The sequence below is a fragment of the Homo sapiens genome, chromosome 16, assembly GCF_000001405.40.
Source record: "Homo sapiens chromosome 16, GRCh38.p14 Primary Assembly".
NCBI lineage: Eukaryota > Metazoa > Chordata > Mammalia > Primates > Hominidae > Homo > Homo sapiens.
The window spans coordinates 35,200,602-35,212,972 of record NC_000016.10 but is presented as its reverse complement, the minus strand read 5'-3'; the positions used below and the strand labels follow the sequence as shown (position 1 = coordinate 35,212,972).

The window sequence follows — 12,371 nt, the reverse complement described above, 5'->3', positions numbered from 1 at the left end:
GATCTTGGCTCACTGCAAGCTCTGCCACCCAGGTTCATGCCATTCTCCTGCCTCAGCCTCCTGAGTAGCTGGGACTACAGGCGCCTGCCACCACACCCGCCTAATTTTTTGTATTTTTTAGTAGAGACGAGGTTTCACCATGCTGGCCAGGATGGTCTCCATCTCCTGATCTCATGATCCCCTGCTTCGGCCTCCCAAAGTGCTGGGATTACAGGCGTGAGCCACCGCGCCTGGCACTTAAAACTATTATTTTAATGCTTAGCAATGTTAATTTTTAGTGAGAAACTTAAGATTACTTAATTTAACATAACAAGATTTTAAGATTTTAAATTACTGAAAAAAAATTAAAATTATAACACAGGTACTTCTAATGTTTTTTGTGGCGGGGGGTTCAAGTACCTTTGTTATATATTGAAACCTACTGTTTCTGTAAGCTCTACTCTTAAGTCAAAACAACCTTGAATTTATTGTGAACAAGTACTTAGAATAAATCCAAACCTTAGGCAAATTCATATAGTGATTTCAATTGTCCTTCACATCCCTTTCCTGGGATAAGTGTCTGGGTTTTGGGGGGAGGGTTGGTAACAGTGTGGGGATCCACCATCTTCATCCATCTGATACATAGCTTCTATTCATAAGTCCCTCTTAAATATTTTCTCCTAAGAAACTTGATTTGTCAGCCTCTTCAACCTCTCAACTCTTTTGGCCTTTAAAGGTAGGTTTACATTTACCTACTTACAACAAAACAACGTAATATATATGGTCTGTCCATTTCTAGAACATTGTTTTGTGTTTCATGACTGTAATGTGTAGCACAAAGTACAGTTTTCTGCATGAATAGTATATTTTATATAGCTACTTTCTATTACACATCACTAAAACAGAAGTTCAGTAAGTGCTCACTTAATGTCATTGATAGGTTTTTGGAAACTGATTTTAAGTGAAATAAAAAACTATATATCATAGGAAAGTAACTCTTGTTTATATCATTAGCCAATGGTAAGTTTGGTTTCATTTATATAGTAATAAAAAGTCACAGTTTCCAAGAATCTATCAACAAAGTGAGAACATACTGTAATTAGTATTATAGTAAATAACACATTACAGCATTACACTATTAGAATATGTTACTGCAGTCTTAGCAGTTGGTGGTATAATGTGTTTCAGTTTCCCCCAAGATCACAGAATTATTCAGACCAATCAATAACAACATCCTGTAGAAACCAGGAGCATCTCACCCTCTTGATACTACAAAGCCTTTCCCGACACCTCCTGTTTCTTCTCTCTGCTCCCAAGTGCAATCCCTGTGTGGATGTGTTTACCTTACATACTTTCCTCCTTCCATGATTATATGTAATGAATAACTGCTGTCAGTCTCATCTGTCCAATGATTGATGCCATGGTTTTAATTGTTCCAGTAGCCCTAGAGTGGTAATTTCTCCCTCGCCAATGGGGTAAAGGAGAGGCTAATCAAACAATTCACAACACTAACTGGATTAACCACCCATGACTGAGGACATCTGCTCAACTTTAACTGCTTTTGGCCTACTGGTTTCACGATACATTAAAAGTCACCTCAGTCAGAACCACCAGTTGCTGTTGGGCTTTTGCTTTGGTCTAAATAGAAGTTTGTGGCCTTTATCATGAGTTGCCTTCCCTACCCACACTTAAGCACACTCATCACCTAGACATAAATGGTCAATTGACTGTGCTCCAGCATGATGGGTCATCATGTTTAGCCTGTGTTTGGCAGGCAGTTTGCAAGACACTTGCCTGCCAAGGCAGTGAAAACACAGCACCTTAATCAGTCTGCAGTTCAGTCCTGATTACAAAGAGTCTGGCTATAAACCTGTGGTCACTTTATCTGATATGGTTATCATTACTAAATGTGTGGGTAGTCATCTGAACATTATTTATTATTCCACACTCTCAGGGTAGGCCCAGGGATGGTCTTTTGTAAAACTGCAGAAACAAAAGGGACTTTTACTTTGGAGAGAATTATGCATGTCACTCAGTTGCCCTAACAAGTGCTACTGTCACGCAAGCAAGAACAGTGGCCTTGTCTTTTCTGAGCTGCTGCTTCCTTTGCTGCTGTCACATGCATTCTCATGATGAGGTGCACCTTCCTTGTGACTTATGGTTTAGGCACTGATGAGTAATAAAAAGGAAAAAGAGCATTTGATATTAGTCCCTCCCAAAACATGTGGGTAATTCTCTCACTGTAAAACCCCTACTCATCGTGTGGGCTTTTAGCACTGCTGCTTACCAGTATGCCAAAGGTGCAATCTTAGGATCAGAAGTTTGATGGACTCAAGCAAAATGACCATAGTGCATATGGGTGCCAATCCCAGTGAGATTGAGTGGCAGTATACACCTTCATCTGAAGAGAAGACAGATCACAAAAAAAACAAATAATGATATAACTCAAGAAACTAGAAGAGAAAGAAATTATCCCAAAGTTACCAGGTGATGAAATTAATAATAAAAAAATTAGAGCAGAAATAAATATAATGGAGACTAGAAAAACAACAGAAAATGTAGAAAAAAAGTAAGAGATTTTTGGAATCACAAAACTGACATATATTTAGCTAGACTAAGAAAAAAATGCTCAAATAAATAAAATCAGAATAAAAGGGAAGACAATACAACTGGTAAAACAGAAATACAAAAGGTTATAAGACTACTATGTACATACACTCCTATGTACAATTATATCCCAACAAATTGGATAAAGTAGAAGACATGAATAAATTTCTAGACATGTACAACCTACCAAGACTGAACCATAAAAAATAGAAAGTATGAATAGATCAGTAATGAGTAAGAAGTTTAGATCTGATTGCTGCTGAATTTTACCAAACATTTAAAAAGAATCAAATCTTTGAAAAAATTGAAGAAAAAGGAATACTGCCAAACCCATTTTATGAAGCCAGCATTACCCTGATACCAAAGCCAGAGACGGACATTAAAAGAAAAAAAATTAAAGGCCAATATCCCCAATGAACATAGATGCAAAATCATCCACAAAGACGCAAATGAAATTCAAAAGCACTTTAAAAGCATCATGTATTATGATCAAGTTGGATTTATTCCTGGGATGTAAGAATATTTTAGTATGTGGAAATTAATAAATGCCATACACTTTATTTATACAATAAAAAGATTAAAAATCATGACATTTTTATGCATGCCTAAAATTATTTTGACAAAATTTAAAATCCATTTCTAATAAAATGTATAAGGAATTAGGTATACAGAAAGAATATACCTCATGATAAAGAAATACATTCTTTATTAACTATAGGACAAGCCCATAGCTAACACTATAGAAAATGGTGAAATGTTGGAATCTTTTTTTCTAAGATTTATTTTAAGATAAAGATGCCCACTCTCACTACTTCTTTCAACACAGTACTGGAAATCCTACTCAGAACATTAGAAAAGAGAAAAAAAGGAAGGGCATTTAAATGAGAAAGAACAAGATCTTATTTTCATGGAGATTAACACTCAGATTTTTTACAGATTAGATTTAACAGCATGAAAGCTGGTACCATGCAGGAATCAAAGGAACTGTCCCTGAAGACACAGGACTTTAGGGCGTCAATTATTAAGGGGCTACATGAAAGCAGAAATGCTCCTGGGTGTTTCCACTGTTTAGACATAAATTTCAACAGATCAGCCCCAGCAAGTAAAGGCACATCCCTGACTGCTGTGGATGATGAGCTTTTCACGCAAAGCAGAGATGTGAAACCTGACAGGTATGAAAGACTCCCCCACACAAGTGCTCCATACGTTGAAAGTTACTCCCACAAATCTATTCCTGAGGGATCAGGTCATCATCTGTGTGTTTGAGACAGTGGCCAGTTAGGCTTCAGTCGACATGAGGCCAGTGATTTTAAGTGTAAAATGCCTAAACCATCAAAAATTTTAGGTAGGTATTTGGGGGCCTGCTCACTTAAATGGGTTGGTGAAATGTCACACCAGACACATGACTGGGAATTGGGGTTTTCTCCTCTGCTCTTAGCAGCACCTTGGTAACCAAATAATTACCCTCCCTCATGCCTCCACGTCCACATCTGCAAAAAAGGCACTGGTGAGGGTGACAATTGGGCGAAGCCCCAGCCCATGGTCTCTCCCTGCAAAGCTCTGAACTTGTGCATCCCCAGGCCAGGCGGTAGGTGTCTTTCAAAGGCAGCTGAACCTGCGCTCTGCTTGGAGATAGCGGAGGGCAGCAGCACAGTGGACAGCGTCTGGGACCTCAGGCTAGTTCCCATAGCCACTTAAGAAAGCTGGCGGCTCCAGGGGCTGGAGGAGGCGCGATGCTGTGGAAAGACCCTGGGTGCCGGTAGGATAGAAAGTCGAGCTGAGTAGACGGAAGGCGGGTGAGTGAGGACCAGACACTCCTGATTTGGGCAAATGCGGGGTGCACTTCACAGCAACACACCCTCCTCACTGCCCAACCCAGACCTGCCCCTCAAGTTCCTCTCCTGACTCAGTCCCCTTGGCGACGGTTTGGCATGGAATCAATGGCCAGCAAAGCTTTGCAAGTGAAGCCGCTTACACCACCCTGCCCCTCCCTCTAGGGATGCGCCCCCGCGTCCTCTCCTGTCTCAATCTGTGTTGTCATCCTGCAGCTCCGCCATCCACCGTTGGGAACCAGTGAAGAAACTGCAACTCCTAGCATGTCCCGCGAGGCGGGCACCGCCCTGCCCCTCCCCAGAGCTACGCGCTCCCCCAGCCCGGAGCAGGCCGACATTGCAGACCCTCTGCCCTGCAACCAATCTGCGAGGAGCGGACCAGACACTGTAACTAATGCAATGCCTTAAGACTATTCTGCTCCCTGCCCAGCCCTTCCATGCAGCCGAGCCCTTTGGCCATGGGGAGGGAAGCCTTGCTGTTCCCAAATCTCTCCCGCCTGGGGAGACAGTGCAACTATGTCTGCTAGTTTTACCTTGCAATTGTGGCACCCCGTCTCCCGGAGAAGCGGGCTTCGGGCTTGTCCTGTTCGAAGTTTGATTTCTCGCAGACCAACATAGGGCGTGTGGCCTCTCAAGGCCTCCGCGGCACGGTTGCCATGGTAACGCTCCTCGGCCGGATTGGGCACGCCCCGCCCCTTTTCTCGTCCCGCCAGTCCACTCAGCCCCGCCCCTTCCCGCTCATTCCTCCCCTTGCCACGCCCTTGCAGACATGCGCAATGCAGCCCGTCCCTATGGGTGGGGTCCCTATGGGGCGGTCCCGCCCTTTCATACATGCGCAATGCCCCCGTCCGTTGGGGTAGGGTCAAGAGCCTGTTCTTTCAGACATGCGTTGTGCAGCCCGTCCCTAGGGGTGGGGTAACGGGCTTGCCCTTTCAGACATGCGCAGTGCACCCGTCCCTAGGGGTAGGGTAATGGGACTGCCCATTCAGACATGCGCAGTGGCAGCGCGTCGCTAGGAATGGGCTACCAGGCCTATCATTTCACACATGCGCAGTGCACCCCTCCCGAGAGGTTGGCAAATGGCCGCGGACCCGCCAGTTCCCAGGCTTCTTGGGATCCCCTCGAAAAGCTCCCTCGCGAGTATCTGAAGCCATCAGTTCACTGCCAGAAATGAAAACTTCCTGTCACTAGTCACCTGCCGTTTGCTTTTTCAAAACCACCATTTCCGCTGTGCTCTGGGTTGTCACAAATCCTCCTTCACCCCAGGAGCGCCCCTTGGACCCCTGGCCGGTGGCAGGGCCCACACCTGGGTCGGGCCTCTCACGGGGACGCTTCCGCCACTGCAATAAAGAGGAGAAAACGTCCCAGGGGAAAGACCTGACCCTGTTACATTCAGTCAGAAAACAGCCACAGGAAGGGGCTTGGGGAGCTACCTCCACCACTCCTCTGACCCGACCCAGGCTGCTTCCCAGGCCTCGGGATCCTAGTGTGAACCTCCGGGCCGTGATTAACGTAGGTCAGCAGGGCCAGAGCGCCCCTTGGTCGCTCCCAACACATGAGGGAAATTTGTGTGGTGAGGTCAGGGACAGTGTCTGCGTTTCTGCCCTGAATAGGGCTCCCTTGGAAAATCTTTTAATATTTCTTTTTAAAAACAGCCCCATTGGACCACTTTTAATAGTTTGCTGATATAACTAAACAGTGATCATTCTCTTAATTCATGTTTCCATTAAGTTTTTCAGATTAAGTACTCCAAGACTACACGCTGTTGAAACTGTCATAGGCACAGCCTCAGCTCCCTGCAGGGCAGAAACACGAGCAGAATCTCCGTGGGGCATCTTTCTGGAGCATCAATATTACTGCAGGCTTTGGAAGAAACAAATATAAATAATTTCTAAAGTAAAATATGGAACATTTAAGACAAGGCTGGAAAAGTCATCCACCTTTAATAACTGTCACCTGTGCCTCACATGGCAGACTTTCTCCAAGAAAAATACTCTAAGGAGAACCTATTTCCATTCTTATAAATAACAAAAATGATAAATCATATCAAGTAAATTGAAAGTCCTGCCCTGCTAGTTTCCTAAATCACAACATGGCCTGGGCATCGTTTTATTTGTATTTTTGCAGGGGGCAGGAGGTGGACCTTTGGATATAAAAATTTGGGTTTTTGAACAATTTTTCGAAGTCTTCAGGTATTCCTTGTTGATTTACTTGTGTACACCATCTAATTCTTCTGTCTCTCTTCTCTCCTCAGACTCAATCATTCCACAGGTCTCTAAGGCTCTGTTTATTTTCTGTAAATTTTGTTGATTTACTTTTGTACCCATTTAATTTTTTCTGTCTCTTCCCTTTTGTCAGACTCAATCATTCCACAGGTCTGTAATGCTCTGTCCATTTTCTTTAAGCTTTTTCTTCTTTTTAACTTCCATCTTCACATCAGATAATTTCTATTGCTTTGTCTTCTGTTTCTGATCTATAGATAAGCTCAAAATTATTGTTTTTATTTTATATTTTTATATTTGGCTACTTTTCATTTCTCTGCTGAGGTTCCACATCTGTTTATTTATGAGAATATTTTCCTTTGCCCCCATGAGCATAGTTATAATACCTGCCTTCAAATTCTTGTCTGCTAGTTACTTCCTGGAGATGTCTACTGCCTGCTTTTTATCTTGTGTAAGTATTACGTTCTCATGTGTCTTCACACATCTCATGGATTTAAAAATTGTGCACACAGACTGCGTACAAGAGTTATAGAGACTCTGGTTTCTGTTGTGTCCCTTGGAAGAGTGTTGTATTTTAAAGAGGGTGTTAATTGGGCTGGATTCTAGCTTCAATAGTTATTTTTCCTATGGAGAGCACAGATGAAATCCTCATTCAGTTCTTATATACATATACTCATATATGTATGCAAAATAGAAGTGTCTCTAAAATGATATATGTGGGGAAAAGAAAGATCAAAATGGAGTTTTTTGTAAAGGGGGCCTGCCCCTCCACACCTGTGGGTATTTCTCATCAGGTGGAGACGAGAGACTGGGAAAAGAAATAAGACACAAAGACAAAGTATAGAGAAAGAACAGTGGGTCCAGGGGACCTGCGCTCAATGTGCAAGGACCCGCACTGGCTCTGGTCTCTGTGGTCTCTGAGTTCCCTCAGTATTTACTGATTACTATTTTTACTATCTTTGCAAGGGGAGTGCAGCAGGAGAACAGGGTGATGGTGGGGAGAAGGTCAGCAGGAAAACATGTGAGCAAAGGAATATGCATCATGAAAAAGTTCAAGGAAAGGTATTGTGCCCTGATGTGCACGTAGGCTAGATTTGTGTTTCACTTTACACAAACATCTCAGTGTAGCAAAGAGTAACAGAACAGTATTGCTGCCAGCCTATCTCACCTCCAGCCACAGGGCAGTTTTCTCCTATCTCAGAATAGAATGAATGGGAATGGTCAGCTTTACACAGAGACATTCCATTCCCAAGGACGAGCAGGAGACAGAAGCCTCCCTCTTATCTCAACTGCAAAGAGGCCTCCCTCTTTCACTACTCCTCCTTAGCACAGACCTTTTACAGGTGTTGAGCTAAGGGATGGTAAGGTTTTTCCTTTCCCACGAGGCCATACCTCAGGCTGTCTTAGTTGGGGGAAACCATGGACAATACCCTTCTTGGGCAGAGGACCCTGCTGCTTTCCAGAGTGCATTGTGCCCCTGGTTACTCGAGAATGGAGAATGGTGATGACTTTTACCAAGCATACTGCCTGCAAACATACTGTTAACAAGGCACATCCTGCACAGCCCTAAATCCCTTAAACCTTGATTCAATACAGCATATGTTTCTGTGGGCACAGGGTTGGGGCTAAAGTTACAGATTAACAGCATCTCAAACCAGAATAATTTTTCTTAGTACAGATCAAAATGGAGTTTCTTATGTCTTCCTTTTCTACATAGACACAGTAACAATCTGATCTCTCTTTCTTTTCCCCACAATATATACTATTTTATCCAGGGTTCACTATTTTTCTCTATGAGAGTGTTAGTTCAGCTAGCTACTTCACCATTAGTGGAAGCCAGAACCTCAGTTTTGATTTTTGGATTTAATATGAATGAAATTATATAATATAGATACGTTTACATCAATTTTTTTATTGCAAGATTATGTTTGTGATATTTATTTACACTGTTGCAGATTTCTATAGTCTGTTCATTTTTAAAAGTCTTTTTTTACATTGTGGTAAAATATACATAAAATTAATTATTTTAACAATTTTTTAACGTGCAGCTCAGAGGAAATAATCACACTGACATTGTTCTGCAACCATCATCCACATTCATAGGGAATTTTATTCATTTTGCAAAACTGAAACTCTGTTCCTGTTAAACAACAGCCCCCCTTTACCTTCCCTTTGGCCCCTGGAAGCTACTCTTCCACTTTGTGTTCCTGTTAATGGAACTACCATAAGTACCTCATATGTGTGGAATCATACAATGTAGTAAAAAATATCATGAGGAAGAATAATACACATTGTATAACATATTTATTAATTTAAAAAACTTGTTTTTTAATTTAAATAAACACAGAGATCAGTAGCATATAGAGAAAGATAGATAAAAAAGAAAAAGCAGTTAGAAGGCTGTGTTCAATTTATGACTATGGTGTCTCAAATTCCGGAGCAGTGAGGCCCCTGCCCCAGACACAAGGCTGGTCACGGTGCAGCTGGGAGCCCAGTGCAGCTGTCTGACTCCCAAAGCCCATGCTCAGCCCAAATATCACTGAGCCCTGAGGCACTCTGCCCCTGCCAGCCCAGGCACTCAGTGCCAGTGAGATTCACCATGGCCTGTTCTTGGTCTTTGGGGTGTTGCTGGCCTCCTGGGATGGGGGCTCAGCTGACAGAACAAGTAGGAGTTTCAGGAAATAGTGGCAGCTGTGAGGCTACCAGGAGCCACACCTCAGGCTTCCCACTGCCTGCCCAGGGGTCCCCATGCAACAGGGCCAAATGTTGACCAGGGAGCCATAGCCACAGGCTTTCTGAAGCTGGCCGCAAGATGGAGTCTTCTCCTACCCTCTGCTAATCTGCTACGCTCTCACCTTTTATTCTGACTGTGTCACACTTCATGAACTGGAACCAAACCCCAAATTCTTCTTCAGTTGGAAGATGACAATTATCTCTTGTCACTGAAGCAGCTGCATTTCTTGGAGGATTTTGATCTAGAGACAGACAGAAGGACAGGATTCTGACAGGTCCTGGGTGGAAGATGATAAAGGGAAATTGTGGGGGAGGGAGGAGGCAGAAGCCAGTCTCTGGGGCTTATCCCTTAAGGGGTTCCATCATCCCCTCCAATCCCATGTAGTGCCAACCGGTTCTCAGAGTTGGATATAAACAGTCCCTCCTATAAGAACTTATAATTGATTCTAGTTCCCTAATCAAACCCTCCACTGCAATGGGTCTCCTCCTTCTCTATAAAACAAACCTTCCCAACAAATCCAAGATGCAGAGGATGGAGCCAGGTAGTGTTCTCCCTAGGGTGGTCTCTGACTTTCACATCCCCACCCTCCCTCACAGTGAGGGCCCCAGAGGCTCATCTCACTCCTTTACTTAGTGTGGATTATATTTTCCTAGAAGGTGGACAGCCAAGATCCCTCAGAAAGGTTCCCTGGCCCATGACTAGCCCTCATCCCATGTACTTCCTATGCTGCACCACCACCAGGGCCACCAGGGTCACGGCATGAGCATAAAACAGGACTTGGACCTTCACCAAGTTCTGGGTTCTACAGAAGGGACACTGAGGCTCAGTGAACTTTTGCCCTGATTCTCTGTGATGATAGACAGAAAAACTGAGGATTTGGAAACAAAGAAGGTACTCAACCATGTAGGAACTGCCTGTCTTAGGAGGGGCCCAATTTCTCTCTTCTCCAATGGGCACCACCTAAGGCAGAGGCTGAGCCTCAGTTCTGCAGCTTCACTACTCAAGGAACAGGGTGGTGTCTTTGCTGGAGCCTCCATCACTTATAGATAAGATGGACCTGACACCCCATTCACAGGGGCACCTGGTAGGCTCTCAGGAAAGAAGGTTTGTCAAGTGCTGCAATCTCAGGGCTCAGTCCAGGACTCTGTCCTTACAAGTTTCAGGATCCTGGTCCCCACCCTGCCTGCTTCTCCCAGTCTCACGCACATTCATATAATCCTCTCTGCGAACTTCCAGCATCTGCATGTCAGTGAGAAGTGTGCCCAGAAAGGGCACAGCTCCTTGTGCCATCAAGGTGGTAGCAATGATGACTACCAATTCTCAGCGTCCCGCACAAGGCCTGTGCTTTGAACTCTCACGAACCCACATCTCCTTGACCCTCCTACCCAAGTTTCCCACTTAGAGCCACCAAGGACCCTCAGCCTCCTTGCCCGAAATCTTTCTCTCCTCTTTCCACAGCTGGCCTCCAAAGACACCAAGAACCTCCTAGTTACTTCTGTGGTGGGATTTTAATAAGTCACAAAGTCAGGTCATCCCTAGCTGCACTCTTCCCCAAATTCACTCTGAGCCAAGCTCTCCCAGTCTCTGCCTCTGGTCTCTCTAATGAAGGCATTCCAAGCACTGTGGGCACAGGTGGGCAGGGCCGGAAGAGGAAGACACTCTCCTCTCTTGATGTGGAGAACTCCAGCTTGGGGGGAGGAGCCTTGTCCTTGACTCCCTGGAGCCCCTCCCTGCCACAGGCCAACTCACCTGCTGCTGCAACCCCATCTGGACTCTCTAAAAACGTCTCCAGTTAGCAGAGTCAGAAACAGGGGCAGTAAGACTGTGCTTCCCTCACAGTTATACCTCTGTTCTCCTGACCTCAGATCTTAAATAACCACCTGAGTCAGCTGGTGCAATGCTCCCACCACCTCCAGTGAGCCCTGATTCTAGATTTACTCCCAGCTCCAACATTCAATGTGTTCGTAACTTTGGACATACAGCCAGGCCTCCCTAAGACTATTTCCTCATCTGGGAAGTGTGATGGGAACAACACCTTCCTCACAGGTTCTCCCAAGGATTCAGTCACATGTGGCTATCACCATTGTTCTGACCTCTTTCAGGAAGAGGTAGCCACAAAAACTCTCAAATTTCCTTCCTCCTTTGCACCTTATCATGACCCTGTGAGGCCTGCACAACAGGCTTCCTGCATTTCCCAGATGAGGAAACAGAGGACCAAAGAGGGCATGACTTGCCCAGGGCCCCATAGGAGAGGCTGGCTCCTCCTCGAACCTGGAGGGCGTGCCGGAGCTGCCTTTATGCTACACACCAGCACCACCACTGACCAGGGTCCAATCCTCTGGATTCTATGGGTGTCCGCATCCCAATCCAGGCCCAGCTGTGGTGAAAAAGGGACGTGTTGTCTAGGGAGGCCTTGTTGAGCAGTACCAGCTTGTCCCAGCTTCACTGGAATTGCTATCCCACAAGCTGGGTTTGAGGTCATGCAAAATACTTCACCTCCTTCATGATCCACCAAGGGAGTTTTCCAAACAGAACTCTCTCTTTATCCACTCCCTGCAGTTGGCCTGCCAGTGAAATCATGCCAGTGTGGTAGACAGTTGTCCCACCCCACCCACCAGCTGCCAACCTCCAGTGTCTCTGATACCCAGGGATGATCATGCCCACCTTGGCTAGGCTACTGAGATTCAGGAGGACTTAAACAGATCTTGGCTCAAATGGGTTGCTTCAGCCTTGTGTCCTGGGCCATCTCCCTTGGCCTTCAGAAGGCGCCTGCCAGCCTCAGTGTGCCAAGTACTGACCCTAGTGGTCTCTCCTTGGGGACCACCTCTCACCCACCCTCCATTGCCAGGGCTCCTGCTCAGCCCTTTTCACTTTCCCAGAACAAGCCTGGCTTCACAGACACATGAGATTCTGTGCATTCATCTATGTGGTGTTCAAAGAAAGAGAATAATTTCCATCTTTTTCTAACTTGACCTACAACCTATTTATTGTGAAGAG

General features: G+C 44.9%; 1 long non-coding RNA gene and 1 pseudogene across 2 annotated transcripts in view; one reads left to right on the top strand and one right to left on the bottom strand.

The window, feature by feature from the left end:
- The window catches only part of LOC105371200 (uncharacterized), a 36,762-nt gene extending 31,738 nt beyond the window's left edge, over positions 1-5,024 (bottom strand). For both annotated transcript variants that reach the window (NR_188628.1, NR_188627.1), the window contains exon 1: positions 4,952-5,024. This is a non-coding gene — a long non-coding RNA (uncharacterized LOC105371200). The remainder of the gene's footprint in view (positions 1-4,951) is intronic.
- TP53TG3GP (TP53 target 3 family member G, pseudogene) lies at positions 4,737-5,070 on the top strand (annotated as a pseudogene).